We start from the raw sequence: 26,692 nt of genomic DNA on the forward strand, positions 1-26,692 counted from the left end.
AAGCCCCTGGCCCACCTAAGTTCAGCCCCGAGCCCGCCCTAACTCCACCATGAGGGACGGAGTTTGAAGTGAAACCTGTGGCCAGCATGTCCTGTGGAAGGGGAAACCAGGGCACAGGTAGAAATCCCTAGAGCAGCATGTGCCCAGTGACCTAAAACTGTAATAACATTTACATGTGGCCCCCCCACACTGGGCTTTTCTTAATGAATTATGGGTAAAAATATGCACAGTTTAATTTTAGCTGTGTCACCATAAGCTGCCAAATGACATCAGCCTGTCACTCAGCCCAAACCTCAGCTACTTCTCACACCCCACAGAAGCACCTTGAGCTCTGTAACCAGGTGCTGATGTCACTTCTCAGAAATCAGCCTGCACACCCTCTGAGACAGTATTACTGGAAATTTCAATCAACCTTGTTTTAAGCTTACATTTTGGTGTTTGCAGTTCTTTGCTCACTGTCACAAGAACCCAGATTGCTGGTTCAGAGCTCTGGCTCTGTGGATCTTGTCGGTTAAAAAATCCATCCGAACACAGAATTCTCGGTAACACACACACAATACACCAGGTGGACATACAACACACACATGCACAAGGATGTTCACGATGACAGTGCTTGAAATAGAGGAAAACAATGCGTCCACATTTCCGTCAGTCAACCGTGGCCCGCCTATGGCCACCCGTCCATAGGGTCTGGATGAGGTCAAACGGGGGCCCCGTCAACAGCACAAGAAAATCATCAGCCAATTTTGCTTGGGAACAAGGGTGCAAAAATCTAAACTTACAGAAATCACTACACAAATCTGACAGTGATTTAAAGATAACACCCGGTGATCAGATAGGAGTGCAGGAGTGCAGAGCGGGCTGACAGGGAAACCTGCGCCTGTTGAGGCAGGAAAATTGGGTCTGGAGGCAGGGAGCATAAGGCAGTTCACACTTCAGCTACCACAGGAAATATCCTCTCCATAGGGCATGGGCCAAGTAAATGACTTTGTAACTTCACTTCATCCTCTCCAGTTACATAGGGTGTACCCCCAAGAAGCCCCATGGCGCCATCACTCCACGGCCCCATCACCCCACGGCCCCGTCGCCCCACGGCCTCGTCGCCCCACAGCCCCGTCGCCCCACGGTCCCATCACCCCATGGCCCCGTCATTTCAGCACTGGCGGCTGCTCTGCCCTGGGATGCGCCTGTCACGTGCAGTGATTTAAACATCAGTGAGGTGATTGATTCAAATACTGCGTACTCTTGCTAGTATTTTCCTTGCATGCTGATATGGTTTGGCTGTGTCCCCACCTAAATCCCAACTTGAATTGTATCTCCCAGAATTCCCACGTGTTGTGGGAGGGACCCAGGGGGAGGTAATTGAATCACGGGGACCGGTCTTTCCTGTGCTATTCTCGCCAGAGTGAATAAATCTCACGAGATCTGATGGGCCTATCAGGGGTTTCTGCTTTTGCTTCTTCCTCATTTTCTCTTGCTGCCGCCATGATTCTGAGGCCTCCCCAGCCATGTGGAACTGTAAGTCCAATTAAACCTTTTTTTCTTCCCAATCTCGGGTATGTCTTTGTCAGCGGCATGAAAAGGGACTAATACACATGCTTTATTGGTGACCAGGAGATGTTTTAAATTTTTCTATATGATTGTGGATTTCTCTTCTTCTTTCTTGGACTCTGCAACTTTGTTTTCTGTAGTTTGAGGCTGGCATCTTCCCGTGGGCTGGGCCCCATGCCACCAGCTGACCCTGGTCTGCTGAGCTCCTTGCCCGTGGTTCCTCTGCTTGGTGTTAATGCAGCCACCCCAGCTTTCCAGACCTCCCTTTCCATTTATCTTTCTGTGGCCTTACATTGAGGGTGTGTCTCCTGCAGGATCCAGTGTATCTTTATCTTTGAATTGAACTTTCTGGTTCTTTTGTTTTGATTCCATTATCTGCGTTTGAATTCTGGCATTATGAATTGTTTTCTGTTTTTCCTACTTGTTCCCTGTTCCTTCTTCTCCTCGTGGCTTCGATTATTTTTTATTCCATGTTTATCCTCTCTTAGCCTGCCAGTTATGAATTACTGTTCATTCAGTAGTTATCCATGTTAAAGTCCAGTGTAAATTCTTCCTGCTATCTCTTACCAGACCACCAAAGATTTACATCACCCCTTTATTCCATCCCACCCTTTGTTCTGTTGTTCTTATGTATTTTAACTCTACTTGCATGTCAAACTCTGGAAATCACTATTGTTATTATTTTCTTTTTCATTTTTTCGGGTCTTGCTCTGTCACCCAGGCTGGAGTGCAGTGGCACCGTCACAGGTCACTGCAGTCTCCAACTCCCAGGCTCTACCAATCCTCCCACCTCAGCCTCCCCAGTAGCCAGTACTACAGGCATACACAACCATGCAGTCTAATTTTTTAAAATTTTTGGTAGAGACAGCGTCTTGCTGTGTTGCCCAGGCTGGTCTCAAACTCCTGGGCTCAAGTGATCCTCCTGCCTCTGCCTCCTAAAGTGCTGAAATTGCAGGTGTGAGCCCCCGTGCCGGACACATTATCATTATTTTCTACCATGTATGCGTCTCTTTATTCACTTCCCTTTCCCGGGTCTGCGTTCCTTCCTTTATCCCCAAGCTCCCACCCCACCCTGGGGGGTCATTTCCTTTCCACCCTAAGAGCCCCTCATCATGGGTGCCGGTCTCTGGGTGGTCACTCCCCGGCCCGTCCGGGGTCACCTCCCTCCCACTCCCCTGCCTGCCTGGGGCCACCTCCCTCCACTCCACTGCTCATCCAGGGTCACCTTCCTCCACTCCCTTGCCTGCCTGGGGTCACCTCCCTCCCACTCCCCTGCCTGCCTGGGGTCACCTCCCTCCCACTCCCCTGCCTGCCTGGGGCCACCTCCCTCCACTCCTCTGCAGCTTCTCTGCATTGCTTCTTCTCCTTCACCTTTTTTGGTTGATTTTCATCTTGTACCCTTGGCATTTTTGGTTGAGTGACAGATGTTCATAGGACAGGTCTCAGGCCACCAGTGGTGCCGTCTCCAGGGAGCCGAGTGGCGCTCGCTCCTGTGGTCACCCAGGGAGGGAGGCCCTTGTGACCCAACTGCAGACTCTGGGAGGGTGGGGTCAGGCTGATTCCCCTTCAGGGTTCCCACCAACAGCTGAGGGGCTTCTCGGGGCCCCTTTGTTTCCTTTGGCCCCATGAGTGCTGAGAGCTGAGTCCGGCTCCCATGGCTCAGCTCAGCTTTTGCTTCCCCAGTTATTGGTCAGCCCGGATCCACGCCGCCCCAAGCATCAGCCCATCATCCTTACTTTCCCCGTCTTTCAGACCTTGGCCCCCAAAATTGTCACTGCTTTAGGAGTTCTTCATTGATTTCGAACAGACATTTTAAGATAGTTTTTTCTAGCTTGTGTTGTGTTTTTAATGGGAGAGTTGGTCAGCGTCTGCTGGAACAGAGCTACGCCTATGGAACCGTAGACTTGTTCGTGCTTTATTGTAAGTTTCAGTCGCTCCTGTGTGCATGTGTGCATGTGCCTGGTGTGTGTGTCTTTGCATGTGTGTGCTCACATCTACATGTGCGTCTGCACATGTGCATCTGTGCATGTGTCCGTCTGTCTGCATGTATCTGTGCATGTGTGTGCACATGTGCATGTGTGTGATCTGAGGCATCTTCCCATGACTGCTGCTTTCTGCTCCAGTTGCTCCTGGCTGAGCATCAGTGCAGCATCAGTGCACCCCCTCAGCACCTGGACACCACTCCAGAGACTTCTGAGCAGAGGCTGACAGCGCAGGGGGGCTTACTAGCTGCCTTTCATGCTGGCCGTGGTGGGTGAGCTGTCCAGCTCTCCTCTCCCAGATCTTCCAGGGGCCAGCAGGCTTCCACTAACCACAGGGCCTGGGGGCACTTCAGTCTACCAGGGCAGATGCTTGCCAGGCCCATGGGGACCAGCAGGCTCCCGCAGGCCCTCCCAAAGCCACATGCAGCAGTGCGGCTGGCAAGCCCCACTTGGGGGAGACCCTGCTGTTGCCGGCCAGGCCTGTGGGACAAGTACAGTCTGACATCTTTGCCGATGGCCTGGAGATGAGCACCCCCTGCTCTCTCCTCGATGTTGCAGCAGAACCCACGCGTAGAGAGGGTTGGGGCGAGCAGTCCAGGCAGACCCCCGGGATTTTCCTGCCGTATTGCACAAGCATTCATGCGTTCATTTAATCTTGCTTTTTTAGGCAATACTTTAAAGACACAAAGTCTCAACAACCATCTTCCGCTTGACGAGACAGATCATTCTAATTTGAGCAGAAGCTACTATGTCCTGCCCTTTGAACGCGGCGGCCCGGACAGCTGACAAGGACACACTGTGTATTTCCATTCCAATTCTGGGAGTGCTCTGAGGCCTCTGGGGGAGAAGGACCCATGAAATATTCAAAACATAAGTGAATAAAATATCTAGGTGCTAGATATGGGCCAGGAAGAGCCCTCGGCCCTGCAAAGTGTGTGTGATGGTGAGAAGCTACCGGAAGAGATGGTCCCTGTGCTTGGTTCATTCCTTGGACATTTATCAAGCTGACGAATGTAGCAGAGGTGCTTCAGTCGGCTGTAATTCCACGGGTGGAGTGCTGGCTGGAGAGTTACCTGGGGCTGTCACACTGCATGGGCTCCGGGACACTGTGGCTGCCCTTATGTGGTGTCCCCGGAGGGCCCTGCAGGTGTCACACCGCTGCTCCACACTGCCACCTGCTGTCAGCATCTGTGCAACGTATCCAGGTCTCTGGGGGCTAGAATGAAAAACATGCATCTCGTAACCAATGAAATCGGGCTTGTCCTGAAGACCTCGTGCATTCATCCATTCTCACACTGCTATAAAGACATACCTAAGACTGGGCACTTCATGAAGAAAAGAGGTTTAATTGGCTCACGGTTCTGCAGGCTTTACAGGAAGCATAGCAGCTTCCACTTCTAGGGAGGCCTCAGGAAACTTATAGTCATGGTGGAAGGTGAAGGCGGGACAAGGCGTCTCACATGGGAGCAGTAGAGAGAGAAAAAGAGGGGGTGCCGCACACTTTGAAACAACCAGATCTAACGATAACTCACTATCATGAGAACAGCACCAAGAAGCTGGCGCTAACCCACTTGTGAAGGACCACCACCATGATCCAATCCCTTCCCACCAGGTCCCACTTCCAACGTTGGGGATTACACTTCACGGTGAGATTTGTGCAGAGAGGACACAGGTCCAAACCATATCACCTGCTGTCTTTTTATTTATTTATTTATTTATTTATTTATTGAGACAGAGTTGCTTCGTCACCCAGGCTGGAGTGCAGTGGCGTGATCTCGGCTCACTGCAAGCTCCGCCTCCCGGGTTCGCACCATTCTCCTGCCTCAGCCTCCCGAGTAGCTGGGACAACAGGCGCCTGCCACCACACCCAGCTAATTTTTTGTATTTTTAGTAGAGACGGGGTTTCACCATGTTAGCCAGGATGGTCTCCATCTCCTGACCTCGTGATCCGCCCGCCTCGGCCTTCCAAAGTGCTGGGATTACAGACATGAGCCACTGCGCCTGGCCTATTGATTTATTTTTGAGATGGGGTTTCGCTCTTGTGGCCCAGGCTGGAGTGCAATGGCACGATCTCGGCTCACTGCAACCTCCGCCTCCCAAGTTCAAGTGATTCTCCTGTCTCAGTCTCCCAAGTAGCTGGGATTACAGGCATGCGCCACCATGCCCAGCTAATTTTGTATTTTTAGTAGAGACAGGGTTTCTCCATGTTGTTCAGGCTGGTCTCGAGCTCCCGACCTTAGGTGATCCACCCGCCTCAGCCTCCCAAAGTGCTGGGATTACAGGTGTGAGCCACTGCGCCTTGCCCACCTGCTGTCTTTTTGCATCTTCCAAGTAGACATCAAAGATTGGTTTGCTATCAGTGTCACTTCTATAATCCGTGGTTCTATATGAAGAAAACAAAATCCCAATTGGGGAAAATGAACCCATGGCATTTTGTTTCTTACTCTGGAGCCGTTTCTGGCAGTTTGCCAGCAAGCACACAGACCCACAGGACAAGCTTGGTTCATGGCCTGGAGTGCTGGTCTTGCTCATGGACACGCAATCAGAAGCAGTATTTTGATACCCCTGTGCTCATGGCAAGGAGCTGCGTGGGCTTTCAGGGTGGAACCAGGGCTTCAGGGAACCCCTTCATCCCGACAGGCATCACCCAGAGCACACCCAGAGCAGCCTGCAGCGGCGTGGAAGGGGCTTGCACTGGCCCCAAGGTGCAGGGGAGCCCTGCCTGCCTGTCTCCTGCTAGGCTTGCCTGGGCTCCCGCCTACAGACCATGAGAATTCTTCTAGCATGGGAAGAGAGTCTGACCAAAGTGACAACAGCCATCCCCTGACTGCCCAGCACTGTTCACTTCTTCCCAGATACTCCTACCAGACCAGGTCAGCCCTTCTTTTACTGGGGGGCCAGAAAGGTCCCCCCAATCCAGTCCAGGACTCCAGATGATGCCCATTTCTCTGCCAGTCCCAGCAATCTCCCTTCTCAGCATCTGGCATCCTGGGATGTACCCTAAAGTTCACTGGCTCAGAGCACCCTAACTATGGCTGCGGCGAGGGGGGAGGGCGGGATCAGGTCGGCGTGCTGCACATGGGTCCTGGGGCGGGAACAGTATTCTGGCTATGCTCCTGCAGCTGGGCCCTCACAAGGGGCAGCGTCTGCACCCTCTCAAGGCTTTGCAGATAAGGGTTTATTGAAGAGGGAGGTGACCCACACCATCCCCACTGAGGGATCTGGTTAGGGGGCTCCCCCCAGAATGTAGGCAAGAGGGCAGCATCTTGATAGTGAGGGTTGGTCACCCGGGAACCACAGTAACGTCTGCAGGGACCTTCCCCCAGTGGCACGCACTTCCCAGAATGCTCACGGTCACCCTCAGCTTTCAACTGTGGGGACCTAACGCGTCTCCTGGTAGAGTCCTCACTCCCTTGGCTAAAACTTCTGAAAGCAGCGAGGCCGGGCTCCCTGGCTAGGATGGCTCTGGCCCTGAGCAGGTCATTTGCGTCAAGTTTCACCACCCAGCACCCTGTGCTTTCCCCAGCTGGCTGCACGCTGGGCCTCCGGGAAGCCGGCAAGCCCACCTGATTCTGGATCCTCCCTCCGAGCCTGGGTGACGCTGTCATGAAAGAAGCTGCCAGAAGCCCACAGCAGGGCAGTTAGGCAGGGAATGCGAGTCCGTGTCCAGAGCAAGGGTGACTCCAGTCCCTCCAGGACGGAGAAGCCAGTGCGACCCACTGTCCCAGGCCCCCATGGCCCTGGCTGCTCCTGGCGGACAGAGGGGCATGTTGCCCACGCTATGCCTTGTTCCCTCTGGGCTGCCATGGCCCCTGGAACAATTCCTGGGACAGCCTGGGGAGGAGGCTGACAATCATGCAAGGTGGATGCAGCTTGGCCCCTCCCAGTCACCTATGTGTTCCTTCCTCAGACTCCCGTGGGGCTGGAGTCATGATTTTGCTCCCCATCCCATCTGTAGGCCGCCCCTGCCTGGATGAGACCACGCTGACACTCACACGCCTCCCTCCAGGAGGACCTTGCCTCCACTTTCTCCAGGGCCACCTGTGATGCACCAGGATCCATCCTGTAATCCCAGCTACTTGGGAGGCTGAGGCAGGAGAATCACTTGAACCTGGGAGGCGAGAGGCAGAGGTTGCAGTAATAAGCCAAGATTGGACCACAGCACTCCAGCCTTAGCAATAGAGAGAGACTTCGTTTCAAAAAAAAAAACCTATGCAAATCCCAATTACACACGCTGAGTGGCATGTTCAGCTGAGCCACCTGCCCAAGGCGGGACCCTCTCTTCCTCCGTCTGCAGGTCACATGGAGATGGCAGAGCACCTGCACGTGCACCTGGAGACCCTCTCAAGCCTCGTCTCCTGGCACTGCCTCCTCCTGACATTGGAGGCTGCTGGGAGTACCAGCCTGTAACCCTCGTTGTGATGGCACCTGCCTGGTGCTATAATTCAGACATTTGTCTCCCCAACCTCATGTTGAAATTTGAACCCCAATGTTGGAGGTGGGACCTGACAGAAGGTGCCTAGGACATGAGAGCTTGGTGCTGTCCTCGCGGTCATGAATGCATTCATGCTTTATTCCTTCTCACAAGAACTGATTGTTAAAAACGCTTGGCACCTCCTCTGCCCACTCTCTCTTGCTCCCTCTCTCACCATATGGTCTGCATGCACCTGCTCCCATCGCCTTCTGCCATGAGTGGACACTTCCTGAGGCCTCACCAGAAGCAGATGCTGGCACCATGCTTCTTGTACAGCCTGCAGAACTGTGTGCCAAATAAACCTCTTTTCTTTATAAATCACCCAACCTCCCAACACAAATCGTCCAAGACACCTGGTGTCCCCCAAACAGCTCCTTGGTCAACCTCAGATTCAGGACCAATCTGAGAGCTGTTTCCGTGAAGGGAGGAGAGGAGAGTTGTTAGCTGAAGAGGACATGGGTTTGCTCAAGATCCCTGCATTCTCCACTATGGCTCTCTGATTCTCCTCTCTGAGCTTGTGGCAGACACGGCAGATACCTCAAGCATGGCTGGGCAGCAGATGCTGGCTGAGAGGAAGTGGCTGAGCCCAACTTGTCCCTCCTCAGACCCCAGAATTGCCAAGACCAGAGTCCTCCATAAAGACCTCACAAACAGGCAATCACTGCATGCTTTTCCACAATTAAATATGTGCACATCTTAAGGAAAGGACCTAACATCCTTCAGCAGTATCTCTTTCCAGGGCAGGGAGTGACTGCGTCAGCAGCCTCAAGTACCTGGAAACTGTCCACATCAGGCAAAGTGGTGGGAGAGACACAGATGTTTCCACCAGCATTTAAAAGAAAGGAAAGAAAATTATTGACAAGAAGCCTCCATGGTGGATCAGGCTTCAACGTTTTGATGGACCTGGCCTCTCTTGGAAGCAAATCCCTGGATGGAGCCCATGTCTCTTTGGGCCCCCAAAGGCAGCCTGACCTTGACACGGAGTGCAAAGCAGACTCAGCTGCTTGTGTTTAATGGGGATTCGCATAGTTGGTTTTTGGTTTTGTTTTTGTTTTGTTTTGTTTTTTGTTTTTTTTTGAGATGGAGTCTTGCTGTGTTGCCTAGGCTGGAATGCAGTAGCGTGATCTCTGCTCACTGCCTGCAACCTCTGCCTCCCCAGTTCAAGTGATTCTCTTGCTTCAGCCTCCCGAGTAGCTGGGATCACAGGCACGTGCCACCATGCCCTGCTAATTTTTGTATTTTTAGTGGAGATGGGGTTTCACCATGTTGGCCAGGCAGGTCTCGAACTCCTGACCTCAAGTGATCCTCCCACCGCAGCCTCGAACAATGCTGGGAAAACAGGCGTGAGCCACTGTACCCAGCTGGGATTTGTGTAGTTTTGTCCGTGCTGTTATATGGTGCACTGGGCAGAGCCAGCCAGTCCCGCCTCGAGCCCCGTTACTTTGGTCTCTGATGCAGATGTTGTGTGGCAGTGGAACGGCCTCATCAGCCCCACCTGGGACCTGGCAGGGGATGGGTCTGAGCAGCCCTAGAGGAGGGTCCCCAGGGCCCACAGCAAGGGTGACATGACCCACACCATCCCCACTGATGGGACCCACACAGTGAACCTCCTCCCACACCCCCTCCCCAGCCGGCCACTTGGACCAGAGAGACGTTATCAAAGTGCCCTCTCAGAAACGTCGCCTTCATCCACCATCCTCTTTTAACCCACTGGGCTTGGTCAGGAAGCCGTTGGTCAGCAGGGGGCAGGTGGGGTTGGGGGGCACCCTTATGTCCTGTGAGACCCTAGCAGGCACTCCAGCTTGGGATTTCCAGAGGCTCTGAGGTGGCTAAGAACAGGATGACAAATCGACTCCAAGGTTCAACTCTTCCCCTCATGGACACTCCTCCCTATGCTGTTCTCATCTCAAATTTTACCTGTTTTTCTCAAAGTAGCTCACCAGAGGTTGGAAATGAGATCAAAGGTCAGCGTGGATCTCAACATTATTATTCATCAGGGAAATGCAAATCACACCAGAGATGAGACGCCATGACACTCACACTAGCAGGGCTAAAATTTAAAAGTCTAGCTGGGGCTGGGCATGGTGGCTCATGCCTGTGATCCCAGCACTTTAGGAGGCCAAGGCAGGAGGATTGCTTGAAGCCCAGGAGCTCAAGACCAGCCCCGGCACCAAAGCAAAACTGTACCTCTACAAGAATTTTTTTTTTAATTGGCTAGATGTGGTACACATGCCTGTGGTCACAGCTACTTGGGAGGCTGAGGAGGGAGGATCACTTGAGTCCACGAGTTCGAGGCTTGGTGAACTGTGATCATGCCACTGCACTCCAGTCTGGGCAACAGAGTGGGACCTCATCTCTTAAAAATAAAGAAAAGGAAAGGAGTGGAAAGGAGAGGAGAGGAAGAAACTTGATATTTCAATTATTTTAAATTTGTTGAGACTTGTTTTGTGGCCTAACATATGGTCTATCCTGGAGAATGTTCCATGTGCTGAGGAAAAGAATGTATATTCTGTACAGCTGTTGGATGGAATGGTCTGTAAATGTCTGTTAGGTCCATTTGGTCTAAACCATAGTTTAAATCCAATGCTTATTTGTTAATTTTCTATCTGATGATATGTTGAAGGCTGACAGTGTGATGTTGAAGACCCCAACTGTTACTATATTAGAGTCTCTCTCTTTAGATCTAATAATATTCACTTTATATATCTGGATGATTTGGTGTTGGGTGCATATATATTTACAATTGTTATATCTTCTTGCTGAGTCAGTCCCTTTATCGTTATATAATGACCTTCATCTCTTTGTAGTTTTTGACTTAAAGTCTGTTTTATCTGATAGAAATATAGCTACTATCGCTCACTTTGGGTTGATGAAATATCTTTTTACATCCCTTCCCTTTTAGTCTGTATGTGTATTTATAGGTGAAGTGAGTTTCTAACAGGCAGTATATAGTTAGGTCATTAAAAAAAAATCCATTCAGCGAGTCTGTATCTTTTAAGTGGGGAATTTCATCCATTTACCTTCAGGATTATTATTGGTAGGTGAGGGTTTATTTTATAATTTTGTTAATTGTTTTCTGATTGTTTTGTATATCCTTTGTTTCTTTGTTCCTTTCTTCCTTCTCATTATTTATCATTGAGGTTGGGTGGTTTTCTGTAGTGATAAGGTTTGATTCTTTTCTTTTTCTGTTTTGGATATTTGCTTTACCACTGAGTTTTATACTTTTGTGTGTTTTCATGATAGTGATTGTCATTTTTTCACTCACAGATGTAGGATTCCCTTGAGCATTTCTTGTAAGATCAGTCTAATGGTGATGATTTCCCTCAATTTTTGCTTGTCTGGGAAATATTTTTTTTTTCTCTCTCATTTCTGAAGAATATGTAGTATAGTATTCTTGGCTGACTTTTTTTCTTTCAATACTTTGAATATATTATCTCATTCTCTCCTGCCCTGTAATGTTTCTGTGAGAAATCTTATGTTAGTCTAATGAGGATTCCCTTATATGTGACTTGATGATTTTCTCTTGCCATTTTTAGAATTCTTTGTCTTTTACTTGAAAGTTTGACTATAATGTGCCTGTAAGAGGACATTTTGGGGTTGAATCTACTTGGGGACTTTGAGCTTCTTAGATGTCAGTGTTCATATCTCTCCCCAGACTTGGGAATTTTTTAGCTCTTATTTCATTAAATAGGTTTTCTTTGCCTTTCTCCTTCTCTTCTACTTTTGAAATTCCCATAACATGAACATTTGTTCACTTAGTAGTGTTACATACTTGTAGGCTGTCTTCACTCTTTTTCATTCTCATTTCTTTTTCTCTCTGATGGGGTAATTTCAAATAACCAGTTTTCAAGTTCAGAAATTCTTTTTTCTGCTTGATCAAGTCTGCTGTTGAAGCTATCTATTGTAATTTTTATTTGATTGCTTGAAATCTTCAGGTATGGGACTTCTATTTGGCTCTTTTTATTATTTCTAGTTCTTTGTTAAATTTCTAGTTCACATAATGAATTGTTTTCCTGATTTTGTTGAATTATCTTATCTACCTGTATCTCACTGAGTCTCCTTAAGATTATTGTTTTGAATACCTTTTCTGGCAGTTAGTTGATTTCCTCTTCACTGGGGCCTGTTAGTAGAGAGTTATTTTGTTCCTTTGGTGATATGTTTCCTCGTCTTTTTATGTTTCTTGTGTCCCCGTGTTGATGTCTATGTATCTGGTGGAACAATTGCTTCTTTCAAAATTTCTAGAGTGGCTTTCATACAGAAAGGCTTTTACCTGCAGTGGATTTTAGTGTGCCATTTGGGAAGGGTATGGTGACTGCTTCTGGATCAGTGCAGTGGTATAGTCTCTGCAGCTTCTTCAGCCATGTTCAACATTAGCAATAACTGTGGACCCGTCAGCAGCCTAGGTTGTAGAAGTTCGTGACACTGGTGGGGACAGTGTAGGCTGTTAACATCCTCAGTTCAAAGGCTGTTGGGGTTCTTCTAGTCTCATTTTCCCCATAATGGGAAGACTAGCAAGGGGGATTCCTCAGACTCTAGGGGGCTAGTTCAGCTCTAGGGAAGCAGGCAGTTGAGTTGTTCGGCCTGTAAGGTGGGATGTCTGGGCTCAGCTACTGCTCTGTTTCTCTGGGATGTAGGGCACTGCGTCAGCTCAGCCAGGGCACTGATTCCCCTTGCGGTGGTGTGTCGCTTCCGCTCAGGCCTGAGGGACGGGACTGTCCTGGGTGGCCCAGGCATTTCCCTGGATGCAGAGTGCTTCTTCAGCTTGGGTTCCAGGAGGCATGACTGCTCTGAGCAGCCAAGGTATTGTTTTCCCTGGAGGCCGTTTATGGCTTTAGCTCCAGCCTGAGGGGGCAAGAGCGGGTAGTGGAGTGGCCCCACCTTTGCTTGGCCCCACAGAGGAGGTGTAACAGCTGCCTGCAGCTTGGCTGGGGGATGTGGGGCCACTGGGCTGGGGTGGTTGGGCAGCGGCTTAGCTTCAGGGGTGAAGGGGAGCTGGGGCTGCTACCCCAGGAACAAGATACACTCCAGCAGTAGTTCCAGTTCCAAGAGGGCACCGCGAGGGCCACGGGGGCAGGCACAGTGTCGATTCCTTCTCCGGCGGGAGCACAGTGGTGTGGCCTCCAGGCAGCTCACTCCACCCTGGGCTTCGTGCCTGTGAGGACTGCAAGGGACCCCAAGGGTGAGGGCGGTGGGTGTCCACGGTGTTGGTGGGGTCTGCTGGGGTCCTCTTGATTACCTCCTCACTGAAGGGAGGTGTTTTCCTGGGTTCTAGCTGACCCTGGTTAGGGGATGGGGTGCCAGGGGCCCGGCATTTCCTTCTGTTCTTTTTGTGACTGTCATGAATTTCTGGGCTTGCCAGGGTTGCTGTCGCTCCTCTGATGTGTTCTGGAGCTCTCTGTGGGGACTTTCATTAACATTTCATGGCTCATGGCCGGGTGCGGTGACTCATGCCTGTAATCCCAGCACTTTTGGAGGCTGAGGCAGGCAGATCACCTGAGGTCAGGAGTTTGAGACCAGCCGGGCCAACATGGTGAAACCCCGTCCCTACTAACAAAAAAAAAAAAACAAAAAAACTAGCCAGGCATGGTGGCAGGCGCCTGTAATCCCAGCTACTTGGGAGGCTGAGGCATGAGAATCACTTGAACCTGGGAGGTACAGACTACAGTAAGCTGAGATTACACCATTGCACTCTGGTCTGGGCAATAAGAATGAAACACCATCTCAAAAAAACAAAAAAAACCATTTCCTGGCTTGTTTACTGTTCTGGGTCTTTGTGAGGGACACCAGTGCTGGGGGCTTCCAGTCAGCTGTTTCACTGATGTCACTACTCCCTACTTTTTTCTTTTATTCCATATTTTTACTGTACCTTTTCTATGTTTAGACACACAAATGCCACTGTGTTACACTCGCCTGCAGTATTCAGTGCAGTCACACGCTGCACGGGCGTTTAGATACACAAATGCCATCACGTTACAGTCGCCTGCGGTATTCAGTGCAGTCACACTCTGCACGGGCGTTTAGATACACAAGTGCCACCGCATTACAGTGGCCTGCAGTATTCAGTGCAGTCCCACGCTGCATGGGCGTTTAGCTACACAAATGCCACCGCGTTACAGTCGCCTGCAGTATTCAGTGCAGTCACACTCTGCACGGGCGTTTAGATACACAAATGCCACCGCGTTACAGTCGCCTGCAGTATTCAGTGCAGTCACATGCTGCACAGGCGTTTCGCTACACAAATGCCACCGCGTTACGGTTGCCTGCGGTATTCAGTGCAGTCACACGCTGCACGGGCGTCTGGCTACACAAATGCCACCGCGTTACAGTCGCCTGCAGTATTCAGTGCAGTCACACGCTGCACGGGTGTTTAGATACACAAATGCCACCCCGTTACAGTCGCCTGGAGTATTCAGTGCAGTCACACTCTGCACGGGCGTTTAGCTACACAAATGCCACGGCGTCACAGTCGCCTGCAGTATTCAGTGCAGTCACGCTCTGCACGGGCATTTAGCTACACAAATGCCACCCCGTTACAGTCGCCTGGAGTATTCAGTGCAGTCACACTCTGCACGGGCGTTTAGCTACACAAATGCCATGGCGTCACAGTCGCCTGCAGTATTCAGTGCAGTCACATGCTGCACGGGCGTTTACACAAATGCCACCGCGTTACAGTTGCCTGCAGTATTCAGTGCAGTCACACGCTGCACGGGCGTTTAGATACACAAATGCCATCGTGTTACAGGCACCTGCAGTATTCAGTGCAGTCACACGCTGCACGGGCGTTTAGATACACAAGTGGCACTGCGTTACAGTCGCCTGCGGTATTCAGTGCAGTCACACGCTGCACGGGTGTTTAGATACACAAATGCCACCACGTTACAGTGGCCTGCAGTATTCAGTGCAGTCACATGCTGCACGGGCGTTTAGATACACAAATGCCACTGTGTTCGTCGCCTGCAGTATTCAGTGCAGTCACAGACTGTACAGGTCTGCAGCCCAGGAGTGATACGCTGCACAGCATGGCCTAGGTGTCTCACAGATTCTACCGTCTTGGTGTGTGTGAGTCACCTCTGATGTTCTCACAACAGCAAAACCGCCTACCGATGCATCTCTCAGAAAGTCTCCCTGTCGTTAAGTGACGCATGACTGTAGCACTCAGCAACAAAAAGGGAGGAAGTACTGACGTGTGGACTTCAGGATAATTCTGCCAAACGAAAGATGTCAGATGAAAAAGTCTACACAGTATAATCCCGTGTATCCAGAATCCTACAGCAAACTCACCAACAGTGGCAGGAAGCAGACCTGCGCTTGCTGTAGATGCAGGACAGGTAGGAGGGAGGAAGGAGAGGACAGAGGGAGGAGAGGACAGAGGCAGGAGGGAGGGGAGGAGGGAGGGGAGAAGGGAGGTGAAAGGGAGGAGGGAGGGGAAAATGGAGGAGAAAGGGAGGAGGGAGGGGAGGAGGGATGAGAAAGGGAGGACAGAGGGAGGGGAGGAGGGAGGGGAGGGGAAGGAAGGGGGAGGAGAGAGGGGAGGGAGGGACCACGAGAGGTGGGAGGGAACGCTGAGAGCCACAGAGATGGGTTCGGGTGTCGTGTCAAAACTCAACACGCTGTGCACTTTAAACACGGGCAGCTTTAACTACATGTAATTGTGTATCAATTATGCCTCACTGAAGCTGGAGGAAAAAACAGAAGACAATGGAAAAGTCAGAGTAAAGAGAATTCACTTACGAAATGCCAACCGTTTAAAAATACTCCACACCGAACATGATGAGCCTTTTCCATTATTAATGCCTCAGGGAGAAATCAAAGTCCGAGCCGCAGCTATCCCTGCTATTCTCAAATTAGGAGAAATCACCGTGTCCTACTTGACTTCAGGGTGGGTGGCGGGCGTTCCCGCGGCAGCTGCAGCCTCGCAGTGCCTGCGTGAGCCGTGCTCCGCTGCGCCCCGGGCAGCTCCGCTCCGACCCACGCACCGCAGGTTGCTTATATACTTGTGCATGTTAGTTTGGACTTTGAGGGGTGCTTGCTTTATTTTATGTTAAGGTGCAGTTTACAGGCAGTAAAATGCATCCATTGTAACTTTACAGCACAGTAGAGCTCACACATATATGCGCTCATGTGACTGACCCCCTGAGCAAAATATGGAGCATTTCCATCTCCCAGGAAGTCCCCTCCTGCCCCTTCCCAGGCAACGGTTCCCCACCCTACCCCTACCAGACACTCACAGCCTGATTTCTAGCTTGGCGATTCGTTTTTCCTTTCTCAAGCGTCGAATAAACTGGAGTCCCTCGGTGTGTCCTGTGCTATAGAATCTGACTGTTCCACTCCATCTGAGCTTTGAGACTTGGACAGTGTTTGTGCCTACCACAGTACTCTTTCCCTTTCCCCCGGGTTGTACCCCACCCCGTGCGTGGACCCTGATTTGCGTGGACCCTGATTTGCGTATCCATTCTCCTCTTGCTAAATGCTGGCACTGTTTCCAGTTCGGGGTGTAATGCACCAGGATCCTGTGAAGACTCAAGACTTGTTGTGGACAGATGCCTCCATCTCTTGGGCACACACCTAGAAGGAGCATTGCTGGGCCATAGGGTGGACATACGTTTAGCTTTATTAGAAATTGTCAAAATGATTTTCAAAGTGATTGTACCGTTCACACTCCCACAGCAACATACAGAACTTCCTACTGCTCCCCGTCCTCGCCGGCTGACGCTTGGTATTGTCAGTCTTTTTAATGTTCGTCATCCTGGTGGGGGTGTGGTGGTATCTCACTGTGGTGTTAATTTGCATTCCTCTGATGAATGCTGATTCTGTGCACGTGTTCAATGCTTAGAACTGCCCGGATACCCTCTCCTGTGAAGCACCTGCTCAAGGCACTGTCAATGTTTAGGGCTGCCCGGATACCCCCTCCTGTGAAGCACCTGCTCAAGGCACTGTCAATGTTTAGGGCTGCCCGGATACCCCCTCCTGTGAAGCACCTGCTCAAGGCACTGTCAATGTTTAGGGCTGCCCGGATACCCCCTCCTGTGAAGCACCTGCTCAAGGCATGTCAATGTTTAGGGCTGCCCAGATACCCCCTCCTGTGAAGCACCTGTTCAAGGCACTGTCAATGTTTAGGGCTGCCCGGATACCCCCTCCTGTGAAGCACCTGCTCAAGGCACTGTCAATGCTTTAGGGCTGCCCGGATACCCCCTCCTGTGAAGCACCTGCTCAAGGCACTGTCAATGCTTTAGGGCTGCCCGGATACCCCCTCCTGTGAAGCACCTGCTCAAGGCACTGTCAATGCTTTAGGGCTGCCTGGATACCCCCTCCTGTGAAGCACCTGCTCAAGGCACTGTCAATGCTTTAGGACTGCCCGGATACCCCCTCCTGTGAAGCACCTGCTCAAGGCACAGTCAATGCTTAGGACTGCCCAGATACCCTCTCCTGTGAAGCACCTGCTCAAGGCACTGTCAATGCTTTAGGGCTGCCTGGATACCCTCTCCTGTGAAGCACCTGCTCAAGGCACTGTCAATGCTTTAGGGCTGCCCGGATACCCCCTCCTGTGAAGCACCTGCTCAAGGCACTGTCAGCGATTTAGGGCTGCCCGGATACCCCCTCCTGTGAAGCACCTGCTCAAGGCACTGTCAGCGATTTAGGACTGCCCGGATACCCCCTCCTGTGAAGCACCTGCTCAAGGCACTGTCAATGCTTTAGGACTGCCCGGATACCCCCTCTTGTGAAGCACCTGCTCAAGGCACTGTCAATGCTTAGGGCTGCCCAGATACCCTCTCCTGTGAAGCACCTGCTCAAGGCACTATCAATGCTTAGGGCTGCCCGGATACCCTCTCCTGTGAAGCACCTGCTCAAGGCACTGTCAATACCTTCCTTCGGTTGTTGCTTTCTTAATTATTTGTAATTCTTTATCTATCTGTACAGAAATCCTCTGCCATATAAATGTATTACAAACATCTTCACCAGATTCTGGCTTGCTCTTTCATTGTCTTGACGGTGTCTCTTGATGAATTTGTAGTAGATATAGTATTGTCATAGATATTCAGAGTTTTTATATTTGCTGTGTCAGTTTTGGTAGGTTGTGTTTTTCAAGGAATTTATCTCTTTCTTTCTTTTTTTTTTCTTCTTCTTCTTCTTCTTTTTTTTTTTTTTTTGACAGAGTCTCACTCTGTCACCCAGGCTGGAGGGCAATGGCACAATCTCAGCTCACTGCAACCTCTGCCTCCTGGGTTCAAGCAATTCTCTTGCCTCAGCCTCCCGAGTAGCTGGGATTACAGGCATGCGCCACCATGCTCCGCTAATTTTGAATTTTTAGTAGAGACGGGTTTTCACCATGTTGGCCAGGCTGGTCTTGAACTCCTGACCGCATGATCTTCCCGCTTCGGGCAGATCTCCCAAAGTGCTGGGATTACAGGTGTGAGACACCGCGCCTGGCCAAATGTGTCTATTCCATCTTGCATGAAATTGCTTTTAATTTTTATAAAGTCCAATTTGTCAGTGTTTAATTGTACATCGGTGGGATTTTTCAGACCTGCCCAAGAAGTCCTCACCAGTGCCTGGTCCAGAGGCATGTCCTGTGGTTTCCTGCAGAAGTGTCATCGTGTTTGTGCCTCCTTGTGCCCCATCCCCTTTGGATCTATGACCTGCTTCAAATTAGCTTTCATGTGTAGCACAAAAGAAGGGCCAACGTCCCTTATTTTCCCTATTGACACCCAGTTATTGCAGCAGCACTGAGTGAAAATGCTTCCTCTCTCCAGGCAGGTGGCCGAGTGCCGGGGGGTCTTCACTATGAAGTTCTGACGTTAACTGAGGGTTTTCCATGGATATCCTTCACCAGACTGGGGAACCTCCTGCTTCCAGTTTGTTGACAGTTTTTATTGTTAACCAATTGAATTTTATAAAATGTTTTTTCTGAATCCATTGAGTTGATCCTATGGTTTTTGTTCTTTATTTTACCAATGACGTTGATTGATTTTTGAATGTCAAAACAATCTTGCATTTCTGAGATAGATTTTCTTGGTCTTGGCCTTTTAATTTTAATTTAATTTATTTATTTGTCTTCGAGACAGAGTCTTGCTCTGTCACTCAGGCTGGAGTGCAATGGCAAGATCATGGCTTACTGCAGCCTTGAACTCCCAGGTTCAAGCGATCTTCCCACTCATCCTCCCGAGTAGCTGGGACTGCAGGTACGTGCCACCACACCTGGCTAAATTGTAAACATTTTTGTAGAGATGGGATCTTGCTGTGTTGCCTAGGCTGGTCTTGAACTCCTGGGCTCAAGCAATCCTGCCTTGGACTCCCAAAGTGTTGGGACGACAGGTGTGAGCCACCGCGCCCGGCTACCTTTTCATATGTCACTGAGTCTGATTTGCTGGAACCGGGTTTAGGATTTCCGATCACGGTGCTTTCTGTGGGAACACGGGCAACACTGCATGCATTCTTCATCCTTAAGGGTTTGCTGCAGCTCATCGGTGACTTCTCAGGGCCAGGAGTTTTCTCTGTGGAATCTGTTTAATTACAGATTAAATTTCTGTAATGGATATAGTATGGCAGTAGCTATGTCAGAGTTTTTATATCTGTGTGTCAATTTTGATAGGTTATGCTTTTCAAAGAATTTGCGCTTTCATCTGGCATGAAATTGCTCATGAGAGCCTCGTCTTAACCTTCTGGTGCCCGTCAGACCCGCCGGGTGTCTGCACCCCCCTCTCCTGAGAAAGCAGCCGCCATTGCTCATTTTTCCCCTCTGTGTTTTCTTTATCAATTTTATTGATCATTTCAGAGAACTGGGTTTCAGTGTTGTTGGCTTTCTCCATTGCACGTCTGCTCTCTCTCACTGATGTCCACGTTTTGCTTTTCCCTTCCGTCTGCTCTCTTTGGGTTTAGTTTCTCCATCCAGCTTTGGCTCCTCGTGATGGTCCACTGCTCACCTCGTCCCTCTGTCCATCTGCCGGCCTCACTGCCTCTTCACTCCAAAAACGATACGAGATCGCCACAGTGTTCTCCTGAGAGTCGCAGGCTCTTGTGTAGAGCTGGGGAGAAGCAGCTGGTGTTAGTGAGCGAGCTCGTGCTGGAATGGCAAGTACGTCACTGTGCAGCACTGGGGAGAGCAGCTCCTGGGCAGCGGGCCCAAGATGTGCATCCCTGTCAGGAGCAGCCTCGGCGCCAGGACGACGCATTGCCCTTCTGAGCAGGAAGGTAGAGCGGCCGTCTGATGCCCTGAGGTTGCCGTTTCAGGTGACTGGGGGTGTGGGGGAATCTGAGGCTTACAGAGCGTAGGAAGATGACATTCGAGTTCTTCTCAGACAGTTATTAGCTGGGGACATTTCACACTAGGAGCATCGGACTTTAAATAAACCTGGAAGTGACTCACCCTCAGTCTGGCAGAGGCTGCCTCCTAAAACCTCCTAGGGCAAAAATGAGATGTAAGTCAGAAGTCTTCGGAATCCCAGGAAGCTTTGGGGTTTGGGTGCATGGCTTGGTTTTTAGGGAGTGGTGCTGTGCTTCTGTCCCAGACCCCTGGGCTCTCCCAGAAGGGCTCCAAGGAAGAGCAGAGAGAAGGCACTTTCTTCCTCACTCATTCGCACAGATTCCCTCGGCACCAGCCCAAGACCACTTTCTATGGGATGTTGGAGAAGAAGACACCAGGTCCAGCTGCAGGGCCTGCATGTCCGTTAGGATCTAGAGTGAGACCAGGTCCAGCTGGGGGCCTGCGTGTCTGTTAGGATCTAGAGTGAGACCGGTCCAGCTGGGTGGTCTGTGTGTCTGTTAGGATCTAGAGTGAGACCAGGTCCAGCTGGGGGGCCCGTGTCCGTTAGGATCTAGAGTAAGACCAGGTCCAGCTGGGGGGCCCGTGTGTCTGTTGGGATCTAGAGTGAGACCAGATCTAGCTGGGTGGCCTGCGTGTCCGTTGGGATCTAGAGTGAGACCAGGTCCAGCTGGGGGCCTGAGTGTCTGTTAGGATCTAGAGTGAGACCGGTCCAGCTGGGTGGTCTGTGTGTCTGTTAGGATCTAGAGTGAGACCAGGTCCAGCTGGGGGGCCCGTGTCCGTTAGGATCTAGAGTAAGACCAGGTCCAGCTGGGGGGCCCGTGTGTCTGTTGGGATCTAGAGTGAGACCAGATCTAGCTGGGTGGCCTGCGTGTCCGTTGGGATCTAGAGTGAGACCAGGTCCAGCTGGGGGGCCTGCGTGTCTGTTAGGATCTAGAGTGAGACCAGGTCCAACTGGGGGGCCTGCGTGTCTGTTAGGATCTACAGAGTGAGAGGACCAGAGCTCCTCCTGTGTGGACATGTTTACTCTCCACCCGTGAGGAAGGAAGAACCCCAGGAACACTCCACATCAGCCTGGCAGGCCGAGTGTAGGAGGGTGCCACGTCACACAAGGTGCACACCATGCCTGCTGAGATGGGCAGACCCCGCTGGGCAGAGGCCTGGCCAGCACCCCCACCTGGGGCTTCCCTTTCAACTCAGTTTGAAGTCCTGCAGTTTCCCTGGGGCTGGGCCAGGATATCTATGGGTCAGTCAGCGTAACTGGTACTGTACATTATGCATGTAACAGGCAAGTGCTTTAGGTTAGTGGGGTAAAGTATGCAAGAGACAAAGACTAGAAACTGTGACAGAGAGAAAGGGCACCAGCCACAGCAGGAGGTTTCACATGTGGGATTTGAGTCCTGGAAGGGAAGGAATGAGAGTATGAGCAGAAGACATATTTAAAGAGGTAACGACTGATGATTATGTAAAACTGATACCAAACCCGAGATTCCAGAAGCCCCACACACACCACGCAGGATAAACTAAAAGGAAACGTTTCCTCACCCTCACCTCGAGGGAATATGTGGAAAAAATGAAAGTGAAGCAAAGGACAGTTGAGTGAGGCATTGAGTCTTCTGGCCAAATGCCCATCCGCAGAGACCAGCTGAGAGCCAGACCCACCCAGACACGTGTTGTTTGAAACCTCTGAGTTGAGGGGTGGTTCATTATCCAGCAAAAGCCGACTGATAAAATCCCTGTTTCATCCCAGCATCCAAAGTGAAAGACAAAACAAAATTTTCTTTTGAGACGGAGTCTTGCTGTGTCACCCAGGCTGGAGTGCAGTGGCGTGATCTGGGCTCACTGCAAGCTCCACCTCCCGGGTTCATGCCATTCTCCTGCCTCAGCCTCCTCAGTAGCTGGGACTACAGGCGCCCGCCACCACGCCCGGCTAATTTTTTGTATTTTTAGTAGAGGCGGGTTTTCACCATGTTAGCCAGGATGGTCTCGATCTCCTGACTTTGTGATCTGCCTGCCTCAGCCTCCCAAAGTGCTGGGATTACAGGCGTGAGCCACCGTGCCCAGATGACAAAACAAAATTTTCTAAGAAAATATAGTTATGACCTTGAGATACACAAACGACACCAAACATAAAGGCAAAGATTGATAAACTGGTAAAGTTAGAATTCAGACCTTTTGTTGTCTAGTGGATGCCATTAAGAAAGTAAACAGGGGCCGGGCGTGGTGGCTCACGCCTGTAATCCCAGCACTTTGGGAGGCCGAGGCAGGTGGATCACCTGAGGTTAGGAGTTCGAGACCAGCCTGGCCAACATGGTGAAACCCCGTCTCTACTAAAATACAAACATTAGCCGGGTGTCTTGGTGGATGCCTATAATCCCAGCTACTTGGGAGGCTGAGGCACAAAAATCACTTGAACCCGGGAGGCGGAGGCTGCAGTGAGCCCAGATCATGCCACTGCACGCCAGCCTGGGCAACAAAGCGAGACTTTATCTCAAAAATATTAAAAAAAAAGAAAAGAAAAGAAAAGAAAAGAAAGTGAACAGACACACCACGGAGTGCAGGGTGGTGTTTGCAGTACGTGCAGCCGTGGAGGTCTTACAGAAGTCCTGCAAATCCAGAAGGGAAACAGCACAGTGGGAAAGGGGACAGACACATCCAACTTCACCAAAGAGGACATTCAAATGGGTGTTAAAAAGTCAGAGGATGAAAAGCCTCAGGACCCACCAAGGAAACACAGGTTAAATCTCAGTCAGATGCCACCACGCGGCAGAATGGCTAAACTATGACATTGTCGATGACCATGTGGAGTGACAAGGACCCCAGCAGACGGCGGGCGGGAATGTGAACTGGCTCTGCCTCCTTGGAGGGCTGCCTGGCCCCCCGTCGTTAAAGCCAAGCACGTCCACCAGTGCCGATCCAGCAATTCATGTCCTAGGTCCATACCATAGACAGGTGCACACGTGTGTGCTCAGACGTGGGAAAACGGGGAACAGCCACAGGCTCACCAGCAGAGGGGAGATAAATAAATAGAGATGACACAGTAAGCAGGCGTGGGAACGAGCAGGCTGCAGCTGCACTCGGTGACGGTGACGCAGGTAACCACTGCGTGGGGAGCAGAGGAAACGACGCGTGGGAAACTCACCCAGATGAAAAACAGAGCAGCCCCGGGGGGGCAGGGCGGGGCGCCAGGAGGGCTCGTTGATGTCCAGAGTTCTGCTTCTCTGCCAGGCGTTGTGGTAACTTGCTAGCCATCCCCTTCTGCTCTGTGCACTTCTCTGTATGTAACACTGTAACGAAAGTTAAAGAATAAAGAGTGCAGACAGGCCGGCCGCGGTGGCTCACGCCTGTAATCCCAGCACTTTGGAAGGCCGAGGCGGGCGGATCACGAGGTCAGGAGATCAAGACCATCCTGGCTAACACGGTGAAACCCCGTCTCTACTAAAAATACAAAAAATTAGCTGGGCGTGGTTGCAGGCACCTGTCGTCCCAGCTACTCGGGAGGCTGAGGCAGGAGAATGGCGTGAACCCGGGAGGCGGAGCTTGCAGTGAGCCGAGATCGCACCACTGCACTCCGGCCTGGGGGACAGAGCGAGAGTCTGTCTCAAAAAAAAAAAAAAATGCAGACAAAGACAGCGCCACCACCACCTCTACGGCTGCAGACCTTCCACGGATTTGCGAAAGCCATGGAGCTTCATGGAACACCACAGAGCCTCCCCCAGTCACCCCACTCCTGCACTGTCCCGAAATGAGGACAATGACATAACAGAGCCTCTCCCCCAGTCACCCCACTCCTGCACTGTCCCGAAATGAGGACAATGCGTGTATTCCAAAGTTACTCATACTAACGGGCACCACTGCAGAACACACGTGTCTGGCATTTCTCATGACACGGTCTGCACATCCCCCACCTCCCAGCAGCCCCAGTCGGCAGACCCCGTCCCCGCTGGCCTCCCCAGTCCCTTCTGCCCCTCAGGACTTGCACTGCCGAGTCTGTCCCAGGCCAGGCGGAGGGTGGTGAGGACCACATGGCAGCTGTGCCCCAGCCAACAGCTGCCTCGTCCTGGATAAGCTGGCTGCCCTGCGCATACTGACCGTATGCACCACAGGCTGCCCAGGAGCCCGCGTCTGCCTCACCCACCCAGAGGAGCCAAGTCTCTGCTGAAAATGCCCCCTCGTCACCTTTCCCACACAGGATCCCGGTTTCCCACCAGCCCCTCCCCGCCGGGCTCCCGGCCGAGATCCACGCCTACCCACAGTTTTCTGTGCATGCCAGGTCACCTTAAAGGATGCTGAGTGTCACGAGGCTTCAAAGAAGCTGAATATTTAAACTATATTTACATCACATTTTTAAATGGTTAAGACGTTATTAAAGTTTTGGTATTTAGAATGAGTTTTGGTTTCTGTAAGTTATCTACATGGGTGCAAAATGCCTTGGGCAGAGGTAACCAGACCCATGTCCCACGAGGCATCATCCTGGCTGTGTGGTCTTGGGCAGGTCACTCCCTCCTGATGTCTAGTGGCCCGGGGGTCTCTGCCCTTTCCCATCAGGGCCTGCAGACATGGCTAGTGAGGGTGGGTCACGGGGGGTGGGTTCCTCCAGGAAGGTGGCTGCTGGGGACATGGAGCTCTGGACCACCATTGGTGTTCCTAGAATCATTGCTCCATCAGCTCAGCGGACCAGGGGGCGGACATGCACACACATCCTCTGCACAGGGCATCAGCCCAGGGTGGGCTCCCCAGCAGGGTCTGCACGCACTCCACTCCCCGCTGCAGCCCCAGGGCCAGGACGTGGCTTTGTCCTCCTGTGGATTCTGTGCTCATCTGGGGCACCCCATATGGATGAGAGATGAGGGCACTTAATGAGGCCTCACAGCAGTGCAGAGAATGCTGTGAGAACCAGCCTTGGTGACCCTGACCCATGGGAAGGAGCCGCAGGGTCTGCCCCACTCTTACTCCTCACCCTCCCACAAGCAGAAGCCTGCAGCGATGGCAGAGGCGGTGCTTCTGCAGGCCCTGGGGCAGCCACTCCCTCTGCCCGGGCCTCTCCTCCTTTCTCCCTGTTCCCCTGCTCTGCTCTGCCTCTCTGCTTCCCCGCTTTTCTTCACTCTTCTCCACAAGGTTTTTTCAAGAGCCTGCTGGACACCTGGCGCTGTGGTTTAACCAGAGCCACAGAGGTGTGTGCTGGAGATGGGAAAGTGGAGGAGGAAGCTTTTGGACAGGAAGGTTGCCCCGGGCCAGCTCCCTCTGCTGCTCAGCCCGGCTGCTCGCTGGACAGCCAGCAGCCAGCGCTCAGGTCTGCTTAAAGCACCTTCCACAGCCTGCAATGCCATTTGGTTCTCACAGTCACCTTGAGACCAAGGCAGGACGTGGATGTCCTTGTCTTGCATGTAGAGAGAGAAACGGAGGCCCAGAGACAGTGGGTGCTGAGCGAGGCAGCTGGAGGTGCTCATGTAGGGGAGTGTCCACCCAGGCAAACCTGAACCCTGACTTGGGAGAGTGTGCGTGCCTGGGAGGAGAAGGACAAGGAGTTTTGAGGTCCCACTCCTGGACTTGGGATATCACTGACCCAGGGATGTCTATAACTCTTAACAAAAACAGTGCAATTATACCCACAAGGTAAGAATTATCTTATGTAGGCCACCGAGCAGACTCAAGTTTCAACCCCGAGGTGGTGTCCGGGCCATCCTGAGGGCTCAGCAGCCTCATCTGAACAGCCTGGCCTTCCTTCTGTAACTTCTCCCAGAAGCAGGTCACTCGGAGGGGGACAGATTTCCCATCACTCAGGAAATAAATGTCTTTGCTTTGTAAAATCACTCTCAAGCAAAGTATGTGCTGGGAGCTTAAAGAGAAAAAATAAGCTTAAGCCAAATACTTTGGTTTCCAGTGACAGGCAGCAGGAAGTACAATGCCCTGCGTCTCGAGGACCAAGGCTTTAATCCGAAGCCTCCCCGCACGGAGATAAAAACTCTCAGGAAGGATCAGTCACTTCATCCTCGTCAGAATCTTCCCCAGATTTTTCTCCCTTGAACATTTTAATGCCCAGCTTTGTCCAAGATGAGTGTCGTTTGTCACGGAAAGTGATGCAACGTGGCAGGGTGCCAGGGCGCCGGGGGTTACTGGCTCTGCGAGGAGTCCTGGGGGCCTCACATCCTGGGAAGGGCGTCACAGGACATTACAGGGTGCAGCTGTAACACTGAGCTGATAATCCAAGGGCTTATGGGGACCTGTCCTAGCTTTGGACTGATTAAAATTCTGCTTTTAAAGTGCTTTAAAGGAGCAGGGGCATCTGGGGGTGTGTGGCTTATTTTGCTGTTTCTTTTGCTTGTAAGTAAAATGTGGTAATGTTCCTGGAACAGTGCTCTCAGCAAGGTGATCAGGTGACCAAGGTGACCAGATGGCTGGGAGTGGGCAGGGGTCCGGGGATGG

General features: G+C 51.4%; 2 long non-coding RNA genes across 2 annotated transcripts in view, besides 5 other annotated features; one reads left to right on the top strand and one right to left on the bottom strand.

Moving 5' to 3' along the window:
- The window catches only part of LOC107985485 (uncharacterized), a 32,664-nt gene extending 9,057 nt beyond the window's left edge, over positions 1 to 23,607 (bottom strand). Inside the window, exon 1 of the long non-coding RNA XR_001755092.2 lies at positions 23,409 to 23,607. This is a non-coding gene — a long non-coding RNA (uncharacterized LOC107985485). The remainder of the gene's footprint in view (positions 1 to 23,408) is intronic.
- Positions 1,464 to 10,866, top strand: LINC01694 (long intergenic non-protein coding RNA 1694). Its single transcript, NR_146912.1, has 2 exons — positions 1,464 to 1,518; positions 4,201 to 10,866. It is a non-coding gene; the product is annotated as a long intergenic non-protein coding RNA 1694 (long non-coding RNA).
- Positions 3,519 to 4,020: an enhancer, noted in NCBI's record as "H3K4me1 hESC enhancer chr21:47015623-47016124 (GRCh37/hg19 assembly coordinates)". NCBI's record gives its function as "activates a minimal SCP1, AML or CMV promoter by ChIP-STARR-seq in naive H9 embryonic stem cells {active_cell/tissue: H9 hESC(naive)}" and the evidence as "EXISTENCE:reporter gene assay evidence [ECO:0000049][PMID:30033119]".
- Positions 4,565 to 4,859: a silencer, noted in NCBI's record as "tiled region #7423; K562 Repressive DNase unmatched - State 25:Art". NCBI's record gives its function as "represses a minimal TATA promoter and a strong SV40 promoter by Sharpr-MPRA in K562 cells {active_cell/tissue: K562}" and the evidence as "EXISTENCE:reporter gene assay evidence [ECO:0000049][PMID:27701403]".
- Positions 8,631 to 8,831: a silencer, noted in NCBI's record as "peak4424 fragment used in MPRA reporter construct". NCBI's record gives its function as "represses an SCP1 promoter by STARR-seq MPRAs in K562 erythroleukemia cells {active_cell/tissue: K562}" and the evidence as "EXISTENCE:reporter gene assay evidence [ECO:0000049][PMID:32103011]".
- Positions 15,114 to 15,314: a silencer, noted in NCBI's record as "peak4426 fragment used in MPRA reporter construct". NCBI's record gives its function as "represses an SCP1 promoter by STARR-seq MPRAs in K562 erythroleukemia cells {active_cell/tissue: K562}" and the evidence as "EXISTENCE:reporter gene assay evidence [ECO:0000049][PMID:32103011]".
- Positions 19,621 to 20,122: an enhancer, noted in NCBI's record as "H3K4me1 hESC enhancer chr21:47031725-47032226 (GRCh37/hg19 assembly coordinates)". NCBI's record gives its function as "activates a minimal SCP1, AML or CMV promoter by ChIP-STARR-seq in naive H9 embryonic stem cells {active_cell/tissue: H9 hESC(naive)}" and the evidence as "EXISTENCE:reporter gene assay evidence [ECO:0000049][PMID:30033119]".
- Positions 23,608 to 26,692: the final 3,085 nt, after the last annotated feature.

Source organism: Homo sapiens, chromosome 21, assembly GCF_000001405.40.
Source record: "Homo sapiens chromosome 21, GRCh38.p14 Primary Assembly".
NCBI lineage: Eukaryota > Metazoa > Chordata > Mammalia > Primates > Hominidae > Homo > Homo sapiens.